This window comes from Homo sapiens, chromosome X (assembly GCF_000001405.40).
Source record: "Homo sapiens chromosome X, GRCh38.p14 Primary Assembly".
Taxonomy (NCBI): Eukaryota; Metazoa; Chordata; class Mammalia; order Primates; family Hominidae; genus Homo; species Homo sapiens.
The window spans coordinates 101,031,154-101,053,120 of record NC_000023.11 but is presented as its reverse complement, the minus strand read 5'-3'; the positions used below and the strand labels follow the sequence as shown (position 1 = coordinate 101,053,120).

Genomic DNA, 21,967 nt, shown 5'->3' with positions numbered 1-21,967 from the left:
GCATGTTATGCTTTGAATAAATATTAATACATGAAATGTTGACTACAAAGTGTTTTCCACTTGAGCACAATTACTATTAAGCATAAAAATTAAATATCATTAAATGTACGTTCACTATTTTTTTTTTTTGAAACGGAGTTTCACTCTTTTTGCCCAGGCTGGAATGCAATGGCATGATCTCAGCTCACTGCAACCTCCACCACCTGGGTTCGAGTGACTCTCCTGCCTCAGCCTCCTGAGCAGCTGGGATTACAGGCGTGCGCCACCACGCCTAGCTAATTTTTGTATTTTTAGTAGAGATGGGGTTTCACCATGTTGGTCAGGCTGGTCTCGAACCCCTGACCTCAGGTGATCCTTCCGCCTCGGCCTCCCAAACTGCTGGGATTACAGGCGTGAGCCACTGCACCCACCTCGGTAGGTTCACTTTGCTGTAAATTTTACTCTATTAAAGCAACAATATTTTACAGCACACAGATGTGTGTATACTTCAAGTTTTCTTACTCGTGGCTGGGCTAATGACTCCTCTAAAAATTAGAGGTATTACTGAATGTAGTCCAGGAGGTAGTGAATCAACCAAAAAGAGACATCTGTCCTCTTTTTGAGTTCTGTAGTTGAAGAAAAAGATTATTTCTGAGGGTTTAGGATTTAATAGTCTTGAGTGGGATCCAGTGAAGAAACTATAAAGTATTTTTCTGATGCAGTGTTAAAAGAGAATGAATGCTTGAGAAACCCCACGGCCCAGAATAGATCTGGCTTTTACCAAAGGATGCCATTTCACGGAACCACCCTGTTTCTCATCTCCCAATCTTCCAACCCGTTAGGGATCTGATGTCTGCAATTCTATCATGAGAAAACTATTCCTTGAGTTGGAAGACTTAAACTGCAAGCACCCCTGGGATGGCTAACGCAGTTAACACTGCAGTGTGAACGTCTTCGTGAGTCTCTTATGTAGATCCACCAATGGGACGGTGAGGAAAGAGCAGGTGGTGGGCGGGGCCCCGGGGAGGGGAGGAGAGGAGAACTTAGAGAAGGAAGGCGGCGGGTGTCAGGGCTATGAGTGCTTTTAAGGAAGGTCTCCATAGAAGGTTCCCCCAGCAAAGTAGGGAGGGGTACTCCCCGAGAGGAGTCGAGGTGCCGGAGCCTGCTGCCTCGCCGACGCTGGGAGGAGCCCCGTGTCCCGCCGCGCTTGCCAAGGGTTGGCTGCGCGTGCGGCGGGAGTAGAGGCGCCTTGCGCACCAGGAAGTGACTGTTTCCCCGCCGCAGCAAACCAGGCCATCCGCTGGCCTTTTAGTTTGCCGCCTCAGGTTTGTAAGAGGATTTATTGGTTACGAAGGAAGGTAAGGTGGATAAATAGCCCGGAAAACCTGATTTAACCCTTGCTTTACAGAAAACTCCCTACTATGCCAAACTGTCCGCGGGGCGGGGAATGGAGGAGGCAGGCGGGGCTGGAGACGGGACCCGACGGTGACTGCGCAAGGTCGTGTACGGCCCAGCGTGGGCCTGTGCCCTAACTCCTCCCACTCCCTTACTTTCTGTCCTTCCCGGGCCCTGCAGACCGGCCAAGTTTAGTGGTAGCCTTTCCTAGTGTCTCCTCTTTGTTAACCCTTCCTACAGACACAGTGGGCAGAACTTGCCTAAAGAAGAAGGGAATGGAAGGGCTAGTGGAGTCTTGTTGGGGAGACAAGGACCTGACTGCCTGTGGGCTGCATTCGGGACACGACACAGCAGTCAACCCATTTGCTTGTTTGGTTTAGCAAGGAATAGTGTCTGGAGCCGGTCCAGCTGAAGGAAGGGTGAGCAGAGAGTGCAAGCAGGACCCTTGTCGGTGGGTGAACATTTTGCTCCAAAAGGGATCCTTGGCCCTGCGCAGGTGAGACCTACCACATAGTCTCTTTGATTTGAACCTCTCTGAGCACAGGAGAGTTAGCCTGCCTTCCTATTTGGGCTACTCTGGACTCCAGGACTCTTCCTGATCAATTCCTGAGGCAGGTATAGAACAGTCGAGCACGACTGCTCACACGCTTTTTTTTTTTTTTGCTGAGGAAAAAACTCCCAAGCATTTTTATTTTTTATTTGTTTGAGACGGAGTCTAGCTTTGTCACCCAGGCTGGAGTGCAGTGGTGCGATCTCGGCTCACTGCAACCTCCGCCTCCCGGGTTCAAGTGATTCTCCTGCCTCAGCCTCTGGAGTAGCTAGGATTACAGGCGCCTGCCACCACGCCCAGCTAATTTTTGTATTTTTAGTAGAGACTGGGTTTCACTCTGTTGGTCAGGCTGCTCTCGAACTCCTGACCTTGTGATCCGGCTGCCTCGGCCTCCCAAAGTGCTGGGATTACAAGCGAGAGCCACCGAGCCTGGCCCCCAAGCATTTATTTTTTATTTTTTATTTTTATTTTTGAGACAGAGTTTCACTCTTGTTGCCCAGGCTGGAGTGCAATGGTGTGATCTCGCCTCACCGCAACCTCTGCCTCCCAGGTTCAAGCGATTCTCCTGCCTCAGCCTCCCGAGTAGCTGGGATTACAGGCGTGCGCCACCACACCCGGCTAATTTTGTACTTTTAGTATAGACAGGGTTTCTCCATGTTGGTCAGGTTGGTCTCAAACTCCTGAGCTCAGGTGACCTGTCAGCCTCGGCCTCCCAAAGTGCTGGGATTGCAGGCGTGAGCCACCGCACCTGGCCCCAAGCACTTATTTAAAACAGGACAAAATATAAAAAGAAAATAGTCTCTTCTGTGAACAAATGTCTCCCCTGACATTAAGAAAGAAACAGAACTCACCTTGACTAGTATGAGTGTGCTGCCTTGAAAAAGAAATTTCACCACAGAAGTTACTAAATATGACAGGCTCTTTACCTAGAATGATGGCTGGTTGGCACCTTGAAATAATAAGGTCCTGTTTTAAACCATACTTGATAATTTGGAAGAGACCTAGATGGACAAGGACCCTCCTGCTGGGGTATAGGGCAAATGAACTACAGTCATGGCAGAGTCACCAGTGAGAGGACCCACACACTCACAAAAAAGTCTAAATGTCGTTGGGGTGGGAATAGCTATCTTCAAATTCCCCAGCTTCCTTGTCCCTCCTCTGCAAATCCTCAAATGGGCCTGCAGTTTCCTTCCTCCTGACTTTCCTGCTGACTGGAGGGACAGGACCCCTCTCCTGGATCAGCTCTACTCCCTTCCCCTGTAGTCTGGGCTTCAAGGCCACTGGCCTTCTCAGACCCACCATGTCATTCTTTATGTCTCTTGCCTCTTCATTCATTTCCTTTCTCTGGCTTTTGCCATCCTCCATATCGAATACGTACATTCTCACAGGCCACACACTTTTTTTTTTTTTTTTGAGAAGGAGTCTCTTGCCCAGGCTGGAGTGCAGTGGTATGATCTCGGTTCACTTTAACCTCTGCCCGGGTTCAAGCAATTCTCCTGCCTCAGCCTGCTGAGTAGCTGGGATTATAGGCGTGCGCCACCACACCCAGCTAATTTTGTATATTTTTGGTAGACAGGGTTTCACCGTGTTGGCCAGGCTGGTCTCGAACTCCTAACCTCAAGTGATCCACCCTCCTTGGCCTCCCAAAGTGCTGAGATTACAGGCCTGAGCCACCCCGCCTGGCTTTTTTTTTTTTTTTTTTTTTTTTTGGAGACAGGGTCTCCCTCCCGGGCTGGAATGCAATGGCACAATCATAGCTCACTGCAGCCTTCAACTGCTGGACTTGTGATCCTTCTGTCTCAGCCTCCTAAGTAGCTAGGACTACAGGTGTGTGCCACCACACCTGGCTAATTTTTAAAACTTTTTGTAGAGACCGGATCTCGCTATGTTGCCCAGACTGGTCTCAAACTCTTGGCCTTAAGCAATCCTCCTGCCTTGGTCTCCCAAAGTGCTGGGAGTTACAGTTGTAAGCCACTGCACCCGGCTGCCACACACTTTTGAGAGTATTAACAGGTAGTCCAGCACAGGCCATAACCTCACTACACTCCAGCAGGCACTCATGTAGAGGGTCAGAAAATTTATGTGTCTATGTGTGTGTATGTTGTTTTTTAAATTTCCCACAAACTGTACTCATCCTCACAGCACTTGCATGCATTGTTACATCTTGTCAGTTTTGCAGGTTGGAGATGTTGAGGCATGAAGAAACCAAGTGATATGCTTTGAATCAGAGCCTAAGAAAGAGCAGTGACACATGTTGAGCACTGGCTGTCTTAAGCACAGTCCTGAACATGTCATATATTTGAATGCTTTTAATTCTCACCAAAACTGTGAAAGATAGGTGTTCTCAGTCCTATTTGTATAGATGGTGACACTGAGATTCATAGCACTTAAGTATTAATATCTTACCTAAAACCGCATAGCTAGTGAGAAGTAGAGCTGGGATTAGAACATGGCTCCAGCCGAATGTGGTGGCTCATGCCTGTAATGCCAACACTTTGGGATGCTGAGGCAGGTGGATCACTTGAGGTCAGGAGTTCGAGACCAGGGTGGCCAACATGATGAGACCCCCGTCTCTACTAAAAATACAAAAATTAGTTGGGTGCAATGGGGGGTGCCTGTAATCCCAGCTACGCGGGAGGCTGAGGCAGGAGAATGGCTTGACACAGGCAGCGGAGGTTGCGGTGAGCCAAGAATGTGCCACTGCACTCCAGCCTGGGCGACAAAGTAAGACTGTTTTTTTTTTTTTGGTAACAAAGAACATGGCTTCAAAGCCTGTGTTCTTAACTGTACTGTCTTGTTGCTTCTTGATGGGGGTGGGTGTTGAGTGGAGAGTGCTATCATTAACACCTGAACTCTGGGCCAGCTTAAGTGTATATTCTGTAAAAAATTTGAAATCCCCCAAATGTCACATGCTATGACAGTCACTTTCTTTAGTACTTTGTAATCATACAAAATGGTGTATGGGCTAAATATTGCAGCACCTATGTCGTCATCCTCCATGTTGCTTATTGATCATGGAATGTTAATTTAGCAATAATTTTCTCTGTGTGTGTGTGTGTGTGTGTGTGTGTGTGTGTGTGTGTATGTGTATAAATGTAAAATTCTGAATTAGGCTATGACTTAACATTGGGATGAAATCCAAGGTAGAGCTTAAGGGCAAAATACAAATTTCACAGCAGGTTAACAGAATGTCAGGCCAAGTCCATTCAAGTGTCCCAAGTACTTAAAATAGGTGCTTATGGCTGGGCATGGTGGCTCATGCCTATAATTCCAGCACTTTGGGAGGCCGAGACAGGAGGATTGGTTGAGTCCAGGAGTTTGAGACCAGCCTGGAAAACATAGCGAGACCCCATCTCTGTTTTTTTTTTTTAAGATGGAGTCTCGCTCTGTCGCCCAGTTCTGCTCTGTTGCAATCTTGGCCTACTGCAATCTCTGCCTCCCAGGTTCAAGCAGTTCTCTTGCCTCAGCCTCCCGAGTAGTGGGATTACAGGTGCCTGCCACCATGCCCGGCTAATTTTAGTATTTTTAGTAGAGACGGGGTTTCACCATGTTGGCTAGGCTGGTCTCGAACTCCTGACCTCAGGTGATCCGCCTACCTTGGCCTCCCAAAGTGCTGGGATTACAGGTGTGAGCCACCATGCCCGGCCAACCCCATCTCATTTTTAAAACAAACAAAAACCAGGTGCTTTCACAGCAATGTAGACATAACATAGAGTCCTGTGTTGCAAAGGGAGGCCCTCTACTTGTGTTCTCAATGTCACCCATGTTAGCTCTTCCAGCTTTTGTCTCATAGTTACTCCCATTGTTCCTTCTCCCACTCCCCTCTTTCAGTGTTGCCACCTCTACTCAGTTAAATACTGTCTTTAAACACGTCATGACAGTTACTAGTAATGCTTACTGAAGATATTTTGCCAGGTGTTGGACTCTGCTCAGAGTTTCACAAACATACCTGTCTAATCTTCTGCTAAGTACTTTTTTTTTTTTTTTTTCGAGACAGGGTCTTGCTTTGTCACCCAGGCTGGAGCATGATCATGGCTGCCTGGGCACAAGTGATGCTACCACCTCAGCCTCCCGAGTAGCTGGGACTACAGGCGCATGCCACCATGCCTGGCTAATATTTTAATTTTTGTAGAGACGGGGTCTCACTGTGTTGTCCAGGCTGGTCTCAAACTCCTGGGCTCAAGTAGTCCTCTTCTCTTGGCCTCCCAAAGTGCTGGGATTATAGGCGTGAGCCACACTGTACCTGGCCTAAGTACTTTTTTTTGCTGGGGGGACGGAGTTTCGCTCTTGTTGCCCAGGCTGGAGTGCAATGGCGTGATCTCGGCTCACCGCAACCTCCACCTCCCGGGTTCAAGCGATTCTCCTGCCTCAGCCTCCTGAGTAGGTGGGATTACAGGCATGCGCCACCACATCTGGCTAATTTTGTATTTTTAGTAGAGACAGGGTTTCTCCATGTTGGTCAGGTTGGTCTTGAACTCCTGACCTCAGGTGATCCGCCTGCCTCGGCCTCCCAAAGTGCTGAGATTATAGGTGTGAGCCACTGTGACCAGCAGCCTAGGTACTTTTTATTAATTATCTTCAACTCTTACAACCACTATATAAGGTAGATACCATTGTCTCCATTTTACAAGTGAAAAAAAGGAATGTCAGAGAGAATGATTAACTTGGCAACGGCCACCTAGGTAGTGAGTGGTGGGGCCAGTGGACCACCCAGGACAGGTCTGGCTGTCTGACTAGGATCTGTACTCCTAAAATCTCAAAGCCTTCATATGTCCCCACTGCCTGCCACTTCCCATTGCCTCCTTTCCCTTCTTTCTTTTGTCCCAGACCTAATGGATGTGATACTATCTTCCTCAGAGGTATATGCCTTGGCCTCCAGGCCTCCAGGCTCTCTTGACTCTCCTTCTGAGACACCAGCATCTCTTCTTGCTCTCCAAATATTACCTTTCTCCCTGATACAGTCATTGGCCTTTTGCTCTTGCCTTTACTCAAGGTACTTTAAAGAAAATTTTGTTTTGATTGATTGATTGATTTTTTTTTTTTTTTTTTTTGAGACTGAGTCTCACTATATCGCCCAGGCTGGAGTGCAGTGGTGTGATCTCAGCTCATTGCAACCTCCACCTCCCGGGTTGAAGCGATTCTCATGCCTCAGCCTCCCGAGTAGCTGGGACTACAGGTACATGCCACCATGCCCGGCTAATTTTTGTATTTTTAGTAGAGGCGGGGTTTCACCATGTTGGCCAGCCTGGTCTCGAACTGCTGACCTCAAGTGATCTGCCCCCTCAGCTTCCCAAAGTGCTGGGATTACAGGTGTGAGCCACTGCGCCTGGCCTGTTTTTTTTATTTTTATTTTCTTAATTTTTAAAATTTTTGTTATATTATTAATATTATTATTTTTTGAGATGGAGTCTCACTCTGTCACCTAGGCTGGAATGCAGTGGTGTTATCTAGGCTCACTGCAACCTCTACCTACTGGGTTCAAGTGATTCTCCTGCCTTAGCCTCCTGAGTAGCTGGGATTACAGGTGCCCACCACCATGCCTAGCTAATTTTTTTTGTTTGTTTGTTTGTTTGTTTGTTTTGTATTTTTAGTAGAGACAAGATTTCACTATGTTGCTCAGGCTGGTCTCGAACTCCTGACCTCAGGTGATCTGCCTGCCTCAGTCTCCCAAAGTGCTGGGATTACAAGCGTGAGCCACCACACCCAGCCTGTTTTTTTGTTTATTGTTTTTTTTTTTTTTTCGAGATGAAGTTTCTTTCTTGTTGCCCAGGCTGGAGTGCAATGGTGTGATCTCGGCTCACCGCAACCTCCGCCTCCTGAGTTCAAGCGATTCTCCTGCCTCAGCCTCCCGAGTAACTGGGATTACAGGCATGTGCCACCATGCGCGGCTAATTTTGTATTTTTAGTAGAGACGGGGTTTCTCCATGTTGGTTAGGCTGGTCTTGAACTCCCGACCTCAGGTGATTCGCCCACCTCGGCCTCCCAAAGTGCTGGGATTACAGGTGTGAGCCACTGCGCCCAGCCCCCTTTTTTATTTTTAAGAGATGGGTCTCACTATATTGCTCAGGCTTGTTTCGAACTCCTGAGCTCAATTGATCCTCCTGCCTCAGCCACTCAAAGTGCTGGGATTACAGACATGAGCACCCCACCCCCCCCTTTTTTTTTTGAGACAGAGTTTTGCTCTTGTTGCCCAGGCTGGAGTGCAATGGCACGGTCTCGGCTCATTGCAACCTCCACCTCCCAGGTTCAAGCAATTCTCCTGCCTCAGCCTCCCAAGTAGCTGGGGTTGCAGGTACTTGCCAACATGCCTGGCTAATTTTTGTATTTTTGTAGGGTTTTTTTTTTTTTTTTTTTTTTGAGACCGAGTTTCACTCTGTCGCCCAGGCTGGAGTGCAGTGGCGTGATCTCAGCTCACTGCAACCTCCGCCTCCTGGGTTCAAGCAATTCTCCTACCTCAGCCTACCGAGTAGCTGGGACTACAGGTGCATGCCACCACGCCCAGCTAATTTTTGTATTTTTCGTAGAGACGGGGTTTCTGGTCTCGAACTCCTGACCTCGTGATCCACCTGCCTTGGCCTCCCAAAGTGTTGGGATTACAGGCATGAGCCACTGCGCCCGGTCCTAATTTTTGTATTTTTAGTAGAGACAGGGTTTCACTATGTTGGCCAGGCTGGTCTGGAACTCCTGACCTTGTGATCTGCCCGCCCTGGCCTCCCAAAGTGTTGGGATTACAGGCATGAGCCACCGTGCTTGGCCTCAAAGCCCTTTTTCATCTTACAGCTTGTATTTCTTATAGACACTCAATGAAATCTGTATCCCTGCCATCTCTCTCGACTTATCCTACTGCTTCTCTACTTACGTGCTACACATTTCCATTTGGATATTTCCCTACCATTCTAAACACAATATGTCTCAAACATGAACTTGCTTTTTTTTTTTTTTTTTTTCTCTTTTTGAGACGGAGTCTCGCTCTGTCACTCAGTCTGGAGTGCAGTGGCACAATCTTGGCTCACTGCAACCTCTGCCTCCCGGGTTCAAGCGACTCTCCTGCTTCAGCCTCCCGAGTAGCTGGGACTATAGGTGCCTGCCGCCACGCCTGGCTAATTATTGTATTTTTAGTAGAGACGGGGTTTCACCATATTGGCCAGTCTGGTCTCGAACTCCTGACCTTGTGATCTGCCCGCTCTGGCCTCCCAAAGCGTTGGGATTACAGGCGTGAGCTACTGCACCCAGCCGAACTTGCTTTTTATCAGCCTCCTTATTTCATTTTTAATTCTCTACATAAAGCCTCCATCATCTCACTGTTACCTTCACAATAAAGTCCATGTTTTATTCAGGCATGAACATTCTTTTAAATCTCACTTTCACTTAACTTTTCAGCCTGTTGCCTCTATTCCTTAAGGTGAACTACTGTTTTAGTCAGACTGGTCTCCCTGCTGTCCTTCAAACATCTAATTCATCTCTCTGCCATCCTTTAAGACTCAGTTTCTGGCTGGGCGTGGCAGCTCACACCTGTAATCCCAGCACTTTGGGAGGCCTAGGTGGGAGGATCACTTAAGCCCAGGAGTTTGAGGCCAGTCTAGGCAAGATAGCAAGACCTTGTCTCTACTATGTTTGTTTGTTATTTGAGATGGAGTTTCACTCTGACGCCCAGGCTGGAGTGCAGTGGCACGATTTTGGCTCACTGCAACCTCTGCCTCCCAGGTTCAAGTGATTCTCCTGCCTCAGCCTCCTGAGTACCTGGGACTACAGACGTGTGCCACCATACCCGGCTAATGTTTGTATTTTTAGTAGAGACGGGGTTTCACCATGTTGGCCAGGCTGGTCTTGAACTCCTGACCTCGTGATCTGCCCGCCTCAACCTCCCAAAGTGTTGGGATTACAGGCGTGAGCCACCTCTCCCCACCTTATTTATTTATTTTTTTTTTTGAGACAGAGTTTCTGCTTCTGTTGCCCACGCTGGAATGCAATGGCGCAATCTCGGCTGACTGCAACCTCTGCCTCCCAGGTTCAAACAGTTCTCCTGCCTCAGCCTCCCAAGTAGCTGGGATCACAGGCATGCACCACCACACCCAGCTAATTTTGTATTTTTAGTGGAGATGGGGTTTTGCCATGTTGGCCAGGCTGGTCTCGAACTCCTGACCTCAGGTGATCCACCTGCCTCGGCCTCCCTAACTGCTAGGATTACAGGTGTGAGCCACTGCTCCTGGCTGTCTCTACTATAAATTAAAAGAATGGTGTGGTAGTGCACACCTGTAGTTTCAGCTACTTGCATGGCTCAGGTGGAAGGATTGCTTGAGCCTAGAAAGTCAAGGCTGCAGTGAGCCATGATCATGCCACTGCACCCCAGCCTGGGCGACAGAATGAGACTGTCTTAAAAAACAAAGACTCAGCGCCATCCCTCCCTGCTCTGGGAAGCCTTTTCTGAGCACTCATCAGGAACCAAGCATACTGTGTTATTTCCTAATGTCTTCCTGTGTCAGCATTTAATCTCCTTAATTAGATTGTAACCTTTGTAACCCCTCTGGTGTCTAGTGTGGCATGATGTCTTGCACATAGTAAGCACTTACTAAATATTAGCTGCTTGATTGGCTGTTGGTTAGGAAGGTGGAATAGGGAAAGAGATTTGTCACAGAAATATATCCAGAGATTTGAACTCTTTCCTGGAGGACAGAGACTATATTTTCCTCATCTCTTTATTTTGGGAACCGAAACATACCTTGCATACAGTAATTCAGTTCTGCTCAACAGGCTTGCTTTTACTGTCTGCTGTGTGCCAGCATTCTGCTAGGCGCTTCAGTTCCATAAGGGTTTATAAGTGGATGAATGGGTTTGATAGTTGTGCTTCTATTTCCCAACCTCTGTATGTGTACCTTTCATGCAGGTGGATTTCAGTGTGTTCTTTGGATGGCAGGCCTTAAGAGAAGAGTCCCACTGCACAGCCTCAGATACTTCATCTCCATGGTGGGTCTCTTCTCCAAACCAGGACTGCTTCCCTGGTATGCCAGAAATCCACCAGGATGGTCACAGCTCTTTCTGGGCACAGTATGTAAGGGAGATTTCACCCGTGTGATAGCCACGAAATGTCAGAAAGGACAAAAAAGTCAGAAGAAACCAAGCCATCTTGGACCACTAGATGGTTCCTGGCAGGAAAGGTAAAGGCCAGGCTGATGTCCTCTCTCCTTAGCAGGTCTCAATCTGTACATCTGCTGAAATTCTGTATTCCTAGTGTAACTAATGTAGCATTACAAGGATTTGAGGGGCCACCTGAGGTAGGATACCCAGGGCAAATTTGAGGACGTCTGAAGAATATTGGTGGAAATGCTTTGGGGTTGCAGAAACCGTTCTCTTTGTCTTTGAGTGTGTTTTTATCAGAAAGAAGATACTAATCTGGGACCTTGTCTTTAATAAGTCCAGGACAGGTTTGCTGAAAACCAGGAACCCAGAATGATATTAGATGGATTAGAGATGAGTAGGCCCATTGCAGCCATATAAGCACAAATATACCTCATTTATGCAACAAATGTATTTTCTACATCAAATTATATTTTAAAAGCATTAGGAAGGTAAGCTATTTAAAGAAACCCAACAGTGAAGCCTTTTGTAATATGATTAATTACCTCCTGATAAATCTGGATTTTTCTTATATTAGGTTTGCCTCATCTGTTCTGCTTTGTTAAGTAGACAACATCAAAATGGGCTCTTCTCCCAGACTCCATCTCCCTAGAGAGCATGAGAGTTAGGTCTTCTGAAAGTACTTATGCATAGTAGGCACTCAGTACATATTTATATAATTAAAGAATTGCCTGAATTATTTTATTCAAGGCTGGCTGATGTTGTGACACCACTCTGGAGGTTGAGCTATGAAGAACAGCTCAAGGTAGGTGCCCAGCCTAAGTCTTTACCCCTCCTTTCCAGGAGAATGGTGCTGGACTCGTAGGAAGCTTGATTGGGCAGTTATTTATTTATTTATTTTTAATTTTAAGTTTTTTTGAGATGGAGTCTCGCTCTGTCGCCCAGGCTGCAGTTCAGTGGCGCAGTCTCGGCTCACTACAACCTCCACCTCCCAGGTTCAAGCAATTCTCCTGCCTCAGCCTTCTGAGTGGCTGAGATTACAAGCGTGCGCCACCATGCCCAGCTAATTTTTCTATTTTTAGTAGAGATAGGCCATGTTGGCCAGGCTGCTCTTGAACTCCTGACCTCAGGTGATCTGCCCACCTCGGCCTCCCAGAGTGCTGGGATTACAGGTGTGAGCCACCGCGCCGGGCCTTGACTGGACAGTTCTACGCAGAATCCCAAGCAGCTTCTTAAACTCATTATGCTATTGACTCCAAAATTGGAACTTTAGGCCAATTATATCTTCCTCACTCTAGACCCATAGATCCAAATGTCTGTTTCCTCTCTTCCTTGCGTTTTTGTTATACTTATAGCTCTGTGTATGTGAGTAGCAGTGCTCTTGCTGTTTCACATGTAGCTGTGCTTTCCAACATGGTAGCCAGTAGCCATATGTGGCAATTTAAATTTGAATACAGTCAATTCTACTGCTTAATTCTAAATAAGCTCTACTGCTTATTTAGAAAAGAGAAATTTGTTCTAACTAATTGACATATTAGGGAAAATTTGAGCATAATGAAAATTTCATGTTTACTTAGAAGTAATTTTGTCCATAAGAAACGCTAGATGAAAGGAGACCATACTCAGCTGAACCGAGCTATTTAAGAACATGTAAAATGAATGCATGCACGCACCTCAAACATCTACCAGCTCCCTCAGTTCCCCCAGTGTGTTTGTTATGAGCCATACCCATCCACATCTGGTGTTAGAACTTTCCATCTGACTCACATAGCCCTCTTTTTATGACTTCATGATAACTCCAAGCTGCAATTCTTTTTTTTTTTTTTTTTAAATAGAGTCTGGCTCTGTTGCCCAGGCTGGAGTGCAGTGGTGTGATCTCAGCTCACTGCAACCTCTGTCTCCCGGGTTCAAGTGATTCTCCTGCCTCAGCCTCCCCAGTAGCTGGGACTACAGGTACATGCCACCATGCCAGGCTAATTTTTATATTTTTAGTAGAGACAGGGTTTCACCATGTTGGCCAGGCTGGTCTTGAACTCCCGACCTCAGGTGATCTGTCTGCCTTGGCCTCCCCAAGTGCTGGTATTACAGGTGTGAGTCACTGCACCCGGCCCAAGCTGCAGTTCTTCTGATACCCACTTCCATAAGTAAACTTCAGGTCATTGTCAGGGTAAAGTGTTATCCTTATCGTAGTATTCATGTTTCTTTTCTTTTCTTTTTTTTTTTTAGATAGCGTCTCACTCTGTTGCCTGGCTGGAATGCAGAGGTGTGATTATGGCTCACTGCAACCTCTGCCTCCAGGGCTCAAGGGATCCTCTCACCTCAGCCTCCCTAGTAGTTGGGACTATAGGCGTGTACCACTATGCCTGGCTAATTTTTTTGTATTTGTTGTAGAGACAGAGTTTTGCCATGTTGCCCAGGCTGGTCTTGAACTCCTGGACGCAAGCGATCCGCCTGCTTCAGACTCCCAAAATGTTGGGATTGTAGGCGTGAGCCACCGTGCCTAGCTTACTATTCATATTTCTTAACCACTTGCCATGTACAAAACAGTGCTGCTGTTTTTATTAGGTTCTTAATCTTTTCTGTGGGTGTTATTGATAAAGTTTTGGAATGTTGTATGCCTAATCCTGTTTTTCCCATGAGCCTTGAGATCTTTTTGTGAGTGATTTTGCTTAGTGTGATATAGGAACACTTACGTCATGTTATAGCAGGGCTGACTCTGTAAATTAATTAAAATTTAGATTAAAAATTTAGGGCCGGGCGTGGTGGCTCACGCCTGTAATCCCAGCACTTTGGAAGGCTGAGGCGGGCAGATCATGAGGTCAGGAGATCCGAGACCATCCTGGCTAACATGGTGAAACCCCATCTCTACTAAAAATACAAAAAAATTAGCCAGGTGTGGTGGCATGCGCCTGTAATCCCAGCTACTCGGGGGGCTGAGGCAGGAGAATCGCTTGAACCCAGGAGGCGGAGGTTGCAGGTGAGCAGAGATCTCGCCACTGCACTCCAGCCTGGGTGACAGAGTGAGACTCCGTCTCAAAAAAAAACAAAAAAATAAAAAAACAAAAAGTTTAGGCCAGGCATGGTGGCTCACCCCTGTAATCCTAGCACTTTGGGAGGCTGAGGCAGGTGGATCGCTTAAGCCCAGGAGTTTGAGACCAGCCTGGGCAACATAACGAAACCCCATCTCTACTAAAAATACAAAAAATAAGCCAGGTTTGGTGGCGTGTGCTTGTAGTCCCAGCTACTTGGGAGGCTGAAGTGGAAGGATCACCTGAGCTTGGGAAATCAAGGCTGCAGTGAGCCAAGATCTTACTACTGCACTCCAGATTGGGTGACGAGAGTGAGACCCTCTCTCTAAAAAAAATTAAAAAAGTATTTAGTTCTTCATTCCCACTGACCACATTTCAAGTGCTCAGTAACCACATATAGCTAGTGGCCACTGTATACGTAGAACACAGGGCAAACAGAACATTTCCATTGTGGAAAGCTCTGCTGGGCAGAACTGACATATACCTTGAGTGTTCAGTCTGAAAGGTCAGATAAAATGATGAGCTTGCACAAGAGCTCATTCTTGACCTTTCCTCATTACCTTTTTAGGTCTGTTTTTGTTCCTTCATTCTGGGTTCCTCATCTGTTGAGACCATGAGCCAAGAATCTGTGGGACACTCTTCTTTTGTCCTGTTTGTTTACCATTCTTTGCGGTGAAGCTACAAAAGTATTTCATTTCTTTTTTTTTTTTTTTTTTTTTTTGAGACGGAGTTTCGCTCTTGTTGGCCAGGCTGGAGTAGTGCAATGGTGTGATCTCGGCTCACCACAACCTCCACCTCCTGGGTTCAAGCGAATCTCCTGCCTCAGCCTCCCGAGTAGCTGGGATTACAGGCATGCACAACCACGCCCCTCTAATTTTTGTATTTTCAATAGAGACAGGATTTCTTCATGTTGGTCAGGCTGGTCTCGAACTCCTAACCTCAGGTGATCCACGCACCTCGGCCTCCCAAAGTGCTGGGATTACAGGCGTGAGCCACCGTGCCCAGCCAGTATTTCGTTTCATAGCTTATATTCTTTTGCAGGTGAAATTTGCAGCTCAGAAGAAAATTTTACAAAGACTAGAGTCTTACATCCAAATGCTCAATGGAGTCAGTGTGACAACGGCTGTACCCAAATCTGAGAGGCTCTCTTGTCTTCTCCATCCTATTATACCCTCTGTAAGCCCCCACCTCCCTATTCCTTATCTATTAAGGCCCCTTAATGCTAATAACATCAGCTGATATTTACTGGGTACTTGCTAGGGACCAGGCCCTATGCTAAATTATTATCATGCATCATTGTCACATTTTACTGTTTATAATAACCTGGAGGGGTAGATACTATCATTTTATAGATGAAGACCTTGAGGCCCAGAGAGATTTAGTAATTTGCCCAGGACACACATCTAGAAAGGGCCAGAGCTGAGATTCACGCTCAGGTCTATCTGATAGAGACTCCATTGTATCAACCACTCCACTATTACCTCCTTAGAAAGGTTCCAAACTTTGGAAACCTTTCTCCCTGCCATCCCCACACAATTTGCCCATGTAACATTGGAAACCTTTCTAATGTGGCCTCAGAAGAGTGGAATTTAATTTATGGCAGGGGTTAGCAGACTACAGCTTTTAGGCCAATTCTGTCTTGCTGCCTGATTTTGTAAATAAAGTTTTATTGGAACACAGCCAAGCTCACTTGTTTATGTATTGTCTATGGCTGCTTTTGCACTATGATGGCAGAGTTGAGTAGTTGCAACAGGGACCATATGGCCTGCAAAGCCCTAAATTATTTACTCTTTGGCTCTTGACATAAGTAGTTTGTTGACTCCTGCTTTATGGCAAGATTGGAACTCCCCTTCTATGGACTGTCTTGATCTTCTTAGCCACAGACTTTCACATATGCCATACCCTCCAAGCAAACCTTATTTGTCCTCATCCAGAGAACATTCCTGCTTTCCCTTTATTGTTATCTTCCTTGGTTTCATTTGACCTCTCATCCCCCTCCTGTCCTTCTGCCCTCTCCAGCCTGTCATCAATGGTTACCGAAATAAGTCCACCTTCTCTGTGAACCGAGGTCCAGATGGCAATCCAAAGACTGTGGGGTTCTACCTGGGAACTTGGAGAGGTCAGTTGAAGGTTGTATAAACCAAAGACTGAAGAGGAATGAAAGGGTGCAGAGAAGTGTCAGTAGAAGTGGAAAATACGGTGGCCTTAAAGAAGAAGATTAAATTGGAAGTCTTTGATGCAGAACGTGATCACAAGGTTGATTACGGATACTGCTAATGGGTAGTCATTGTAACACAGTGATAGAAAATGCAACCCTCGCCCTTTCTTCCTCTAAAAGCCATATATGCCTGATACCTAGTAAACACTTAGTAAATGCTGGCGTTGTTGCTGCTGCTGTCTCATCATCATTGTTGTCATCATCATTTTATGCTGCTTTCTGCAGTGGGAGCAATCTCCTTGTTAGAGTTGTCTTCCTATTTCACATCCCCATATCTCTGAAAATTATTTCTGTGGTAAATCTACCTTAAAAGAATTGGTAGGGGAGGTGTGTATCGGTGAGGGGAATCACAGTGGCATATTTCTGAAACTTACTTTCAGTTATCCCTTCCCAGATTCCATTCCTGAGCTTTTTTTTTTTTTTTTTTTTTGAGATGGAGTCTCGCACTGTCACCCAGGCTGGAGTGCAGTGGTGTGATCTCGGCTCACTGCAACCTCCGCCTCCCGAGTTCAAGTGATTCTCCTGTCTGAGCCTCTGAGTAGCTGGGATTACAGGTGTGCACCACCACACCCAGCTAATTTTTGTATTTTTGGTAGAGACGGGGTTTCGCTATGTTGGCCAGGCTGGTCTTGAACTCCTGACCTCAGGTGATCCACTCGCCTTAGCCTCCCCAAGTGCTGGGATTACAGGCATGAGCCACTGTGCTTGGCCCATTCCTGAGCTTTCTGTTTGCCCATTTTCAATAAATCCACTTGAAATACCATCATTTGATATTAGTCACACAGTTTAATATCCATATGCCTTAAACTACAGTTCGTTAGGGCGTGCACTTGGCTTTTTTCCCTCCTGTGTGCTGAATTAAATGACTGTGACGTCAGTGTTCTATTATTCAGTAATAGAAAAATAAAACCCATTACATTTTATTTCCCTCTTAAAATCTGAACAGAAAACAGACGTCATATAGTGCATTTGTGGCGTGAGAGAAAATATTGAGTAGCTTCATAAATAATTAGCTGCTTAATGGCTAGACCAGGAAATAATTAGGTTTTCTCTGAAAAGTGGCCATGAGATTGTATTTGCTTCTTCATATCTACATATGCCACTTTGACGATAGAAATTTGAGTTGCCAGGCATTTTCTTTTAAATAATCTTTTAAGAATAAAACCATGCAAATTATTTTTCTTTCCATAGATGGGAACGTTGTCTGTGTGCAGTCTAATCATCTGAAAAACATCCCTGAGAAACACAGTCAAGTGGCGCAGGTAAAATGGAACAAGAGCTGGTTGAGAATGGCCTGGAGCATTGTAGTCTACAACAGCAACATCCCTGACATTTTGATAATAGAGCCAATTCTAGTGCTAGAGGGAAGGAGGGGCTCTGTACTGAAAGCATACCTTCTAACTATGGAGAAAACATTGCTAGGTTTTCATTTCAGAAAGAGTGGAGAGGGGAAGAGAGAACTGTGTCCATTATTGTAAGTATCAGGCATCTAAGGACTTTTTCATAGTAGGGATGTATTAGGAAGAAGTGCTGATGAGGGTACTATAGCAAGTGTCAGGTGTCTGAAGTATTTGGAAGGCTAGTGTTTTCAGCAGAACAGAATTGAGGAATATGAGGTGAAGTGGTGATAAGATAGTACATCATGAGCTTGGCCTCTGATACGTTTTTTTCTTTCTTTCTTTTCTTTCTTTCTTGGATGAGGTCTTGCCATGTTGTGCAGGCTGGTCTCGAATTCCTGGCCTCAAGCAATTCTGCCACCTTCTGTATCCCAGAGTATGCTGGGATTATAGGCATGAGCTACCGTGCCTGACCTCTGAGACACTTATTTTTTATTTTTTATTTTTTGAGACAGTCTCATTCTGTCGCCCAGGCTGGAGTGCAGAGGCATGATCTCAGCTCACTGCAACCTCCATCTCCTGGGTTTGAGCAATTCTCATGCCTCAGCCTCCCAAGTAGCTGGGACTACAGGCCCATGCCACCACACCCAGCTACTTTTTGAATTTTTAGTAGAGATGGGTTTTCACCATGTTGGCCAGTCTGGTCTTGAACTCCTGACCTCAAGTGATCCACCCACCTCGGCCTCCCAAAGTGCTGGGATTACAGGTGTGAGCCACTGCGCCTGGTCTTTTTCTAGTTCTTTATGTCAAATTACTGTGTCCCTTGAAATAATTCCACTCTGTAGTTAAGCCACTAACTGGATACTTGATACACAGGTTCTTTTTTTTTCCATTTTGCTTTCAAATTTTACAGATTTTTTAAAATTTAAATTTTGTTTTATACTTTAAAAAAATATTTACTAGGTTCCAAAATCAAGTCTACAAAATAAAGGTATATTCAGGGAGGTCTAGCTTTCACCTCTGACCCCTCTACCCAGTTCCCTCCCTGCCATGGGTAAAATTTTTTTTTTTATTTTTGCTGATTTCAGAAAATGTAGGCCAGGCATGGTGGCTCATGCCTGTAATCCCAGCACTTTGGGAGGTTAAGGCGGGTGGATCACTTGAGGTCAGGAGTTCGAGACCAGCCTGGCCAACATGGCTAAACCCCATCTCTACTAAAAGTACAAAAATTAGCCGAGCGTAGTGGCGCACGCCTATAGTCCTGGCTACTCAGGAGGCTGAGGTATGAGAATCGCTAGAACCTGGGAGGCAGAGGTTGCAGTGAACTGAGATCGCACCATTGCACTCCATCCTGGGTGACAGAGCGAGACCATGTCTCAAAAAAAAAAAAAATGTAGGCCAGGCACGGTGGCTCACGCCTGTAATCTCAGCACTTTGGGAGGCCGAGGCGGGCAGATCACCTGAGGTCAGGAGTTCAAGACCAGCCTGACCAACATGGAGAAACCCTGTCTCTACTAAAAATACAAAATTAGCTGGATGTGGTGGTGCATGCCTGTAATCCCAGCTACTTGGGAGGTTGAGGCAGGAGAATCCCTTGAACCCAGGAGGCGGAGGTTGCGGTGAGCCAAGATCATGCCACTGTACTCCAGCCTGGGCAACAAGAGTGAAACTCTGTCTCAAAAAAAAAAAAAAAAGGAAATGTTAATAGATATTTGTGTCTTCCCCGCTTTCATAGTTAAAAGGCAGCCTACTGTATACATTGTTCTGCATCTTGATTTTTTTTCACAGAATAATATACTTGACTTTTTTATAGTTGCATAGTCCTACATATTAATAGTATAATGTATTTTGCATCTTTTTGTTTTTATTGGCATGAATAATTACCTCATTTTTCCATTTGCTTTGTTTTCTTTCTTCTCTTTCTTTCTTTCTTTATTTTTTTGTGTATGGAGTCTCGCTCTGTCGCCCGGGCTGTAGTGCAGTGGCGAGATCTTGGATCACTGCAGCCTCCACCCACCAGGTTCCAGCAATTCTCCTGCCTCAGCCTCCTGGGTAGCTGGGATTACAGGCACACACCACCACGCCTGGCCCATTTTTGTATTTTTAGTAGAGACGAGGTTTCACCATGTTAGCCAGGCTGGTCTCGAACTTCTGACCTCAGGTGATCCGCCCGCCTCGCCCTCCCAAAGTGCTGGGATTACAGGTGTGAGCCACCGCACCCAGCCTCCTTCATTTTCTGTAAACCAATTGCTAATTTCTTTTCTTTCTTTTTTTTTTTTTTGACTTGGAGTTTTGCTCTTGTCGCCCAGGCTGGATTACAATGGCGCAGTCTTGGCTCACTGCAATCTCCACCTCCTGGGTTCAAGCAATTCTCCTGCCTCAGCCTCCCAAGTAGCTGGGATTATAGGGGCCCGCCACCACTCCCAGCTAATTTTTGTAATTTTAGTAGAGATGGGGTTTCACCATGTTGGCCAGGCTGGTCTTGAACTCCTGACCTCAGGTGATTCGTCCACCTTGGCCTCCCAAAGTGTTGGGATTACAGGTGTGAGCCACCGTGCCTGGCCGCCAATTTCTTCCCAAATGCTTTATAAGATCTGTCAGATATTCATCAATATTTTCCATATCTCAAAAGCTTCAGTTGAAGTTTTTCCCTGAAGACCTTTTTCCTGGAGTCTGCCATCCTAGGCCCAGCCTGTCTTCTGCATGGCTGTTATCCTGGGGCTTCTTTTGCTGGTCTCTAGTCTTTTTTTTTTTTTTTTTTGAGACGGAGTTTCAGTCTTTTTGCCCAGGCTGGAGTGTAATGGTGCGATCTTGGCTCACTGCAACCTCCACCTTCCAGGTTCAAGTGATTCTCCTGCCTCAGCCTCTCGAGTAGCTGGGATTACAGGCACCAGCCACCACGCCCAGCTAATTTTTTTTATATTTTATTTTATTTATTTATTTATTTTTTTGAGATGGAGTCTCGCTCTGTTGCCCAGGCTGGAGTGCAGTGGCGTGAACTTGGCTCACTGCTACCTCTGCCTCCCGGGTTCAAGCAATTCTCCTGCCTCAGCTTCCTGAATAGCTGGAATTACAGGCACATGCCACCACGCCTAGCTAATTTTTTGTATTTTTAGTAGAGACGGGGTTTCACTGTGTTAGCCAGGATGGTCTCGATCTCCTGACCTCGTGATTCGCCCACCTCAGCCTCCCAAAGTGCTGGGATTACAGGTGTGAGCCACCGCACCCAGCCCCTCTTCCTGAATTTTTTTTTGAGAGGGGTCTCACTCTGTTGCCCAGGCTGGAGTGCAATGGCGTGATCTCAGCTCACTGCAACCTCTGCCTCCTGTGTTGAAGTGATTCTCCTGCCTCAGCCTCCCGAGTAGCTCAGATTACAGGCACCTGCCACCACGCTTGGCTAATTTTTGTATTTTTAGCAGAGATGGGGTTTCACCAGGTTGGCATGAGTGGTCTAGAACTCCTGACCTCAAATGATCTACCCACCTTGGCCTCCCAAAGTGCTGGGATTATAGGCACCCCCGGTCCCCTCTCCCTCATTTTCTATGTGCTCTCTATTCTTCCTATTAGATTTGGGGACCTTATGGATTGCTTCTGTTATCTTCCGTTCATTTCTCTCTCCTGTTTTTCATCTCTTTGCCTTTTTGTTCTTTTTGTGAAATTTTATTGACCTACATACCAACAGCTTTATTGAATTTGTCTCTATCATTGTGTCTTTAATTTTCAAAAGGTTTTTCTTGTTCTCTAATTGCTCCTTTCATGTAGCATTCTGTTCTTTTTTAGTAATGTAACATTAACTTATCTTTCTATTTGCTTTTTTTTTTTTTTTCCTACGACAGAGTTTTGCTCCTGTTGCCCAGGCTAGAGTGCAATGGTGCAATCTTGGCTCACTGCAACCTCCGCCTCCCGAGTTCAAGCAATTCTCCTGCCTCAGCCTCCCGAGTAGCTGAGATTACAGGCACATGCCACCACGCCCAGCTAATTTTTGTGTTTTTAATAGAGATGGGGTTTTGCCATGTTGGCCAGACTGGTCTCGAACTGTTGACCTCAGGTGATCTGCCGACCTTTGCCTCCCAAAGTGTTAGCATTACAGGCGTGAGCCACCATGCCCAGCCTCTATTTGCTTTTTTTCCTGTTTGAAGTGTCTGCTTTCTTCTGGATTTTTTTCCTGTGTATTTGTTTTGGGCATTGTCTTTTATAATGGAGGTGTTAACCAAATAGCTGGTAATACTTGGCTGGCTGTTCATATTTAAGAGTGAGGCCTTAGGACCGGTGTGGTGGCTCATGCCTGTAATCCTAGCAGTTTGGGAGTGTGAGGTGGGTGGATCACTTGAGTTTAAGAGTTCAAGACCAGCCTGGACAACATGGCAAAACCCTGTCTTTACTA

The 21,967-nt window shown here is 46.1% G+C and overlaps 1 protein-coding gene across 13 annotated transcripts in view; it reads left to right on the top strand.

Annotated features, from left to right (window-relative positions):
- Positions 1,010-21,967, top strand: part of TRMT2B (tRNA methyltransferase 2B) — a 78,746-nt gene continuing 57,788 nt past the window's right edge. Inside the window, exons 1-7 of one of the 13 annotated variants that reach the window (NM_001167970.2) lie at positions 1,010-1,304; positions 1,388-1,477; positions 10,809-11,079; positions 11,750-11,804; positions 15,070-15,204; positions 16,048-16,147; positions 17,438-17,508. In NM_001167970.2, coding sequence (NP_001161442.1) covers positions 10,832-11,079; positions 11,750-11,804; positions 15,070-15,204; positions 16,048-16,147; positions 17,438-17,508 — 609 coding nt within the window. In that variant the 5' untranslated portion in view covers positions 1,010-1,304; positions 1,388-1,477; positions 10,809-10,831. Of the gene's footprint in view, positions 1,338-1,384; positions 1,871-10,808; positions 11,080-11,749; positions 11,805-15,069; positions 15,205-16,047; positions 16,148-17,437; positions 17,509-21,967 lie in introns of those variants that run through there. The other 12 variants (NM_001167971.2, NM_024917.6, XM_047442532.1 and 9 more) reach the window with 12 other exon arrangements.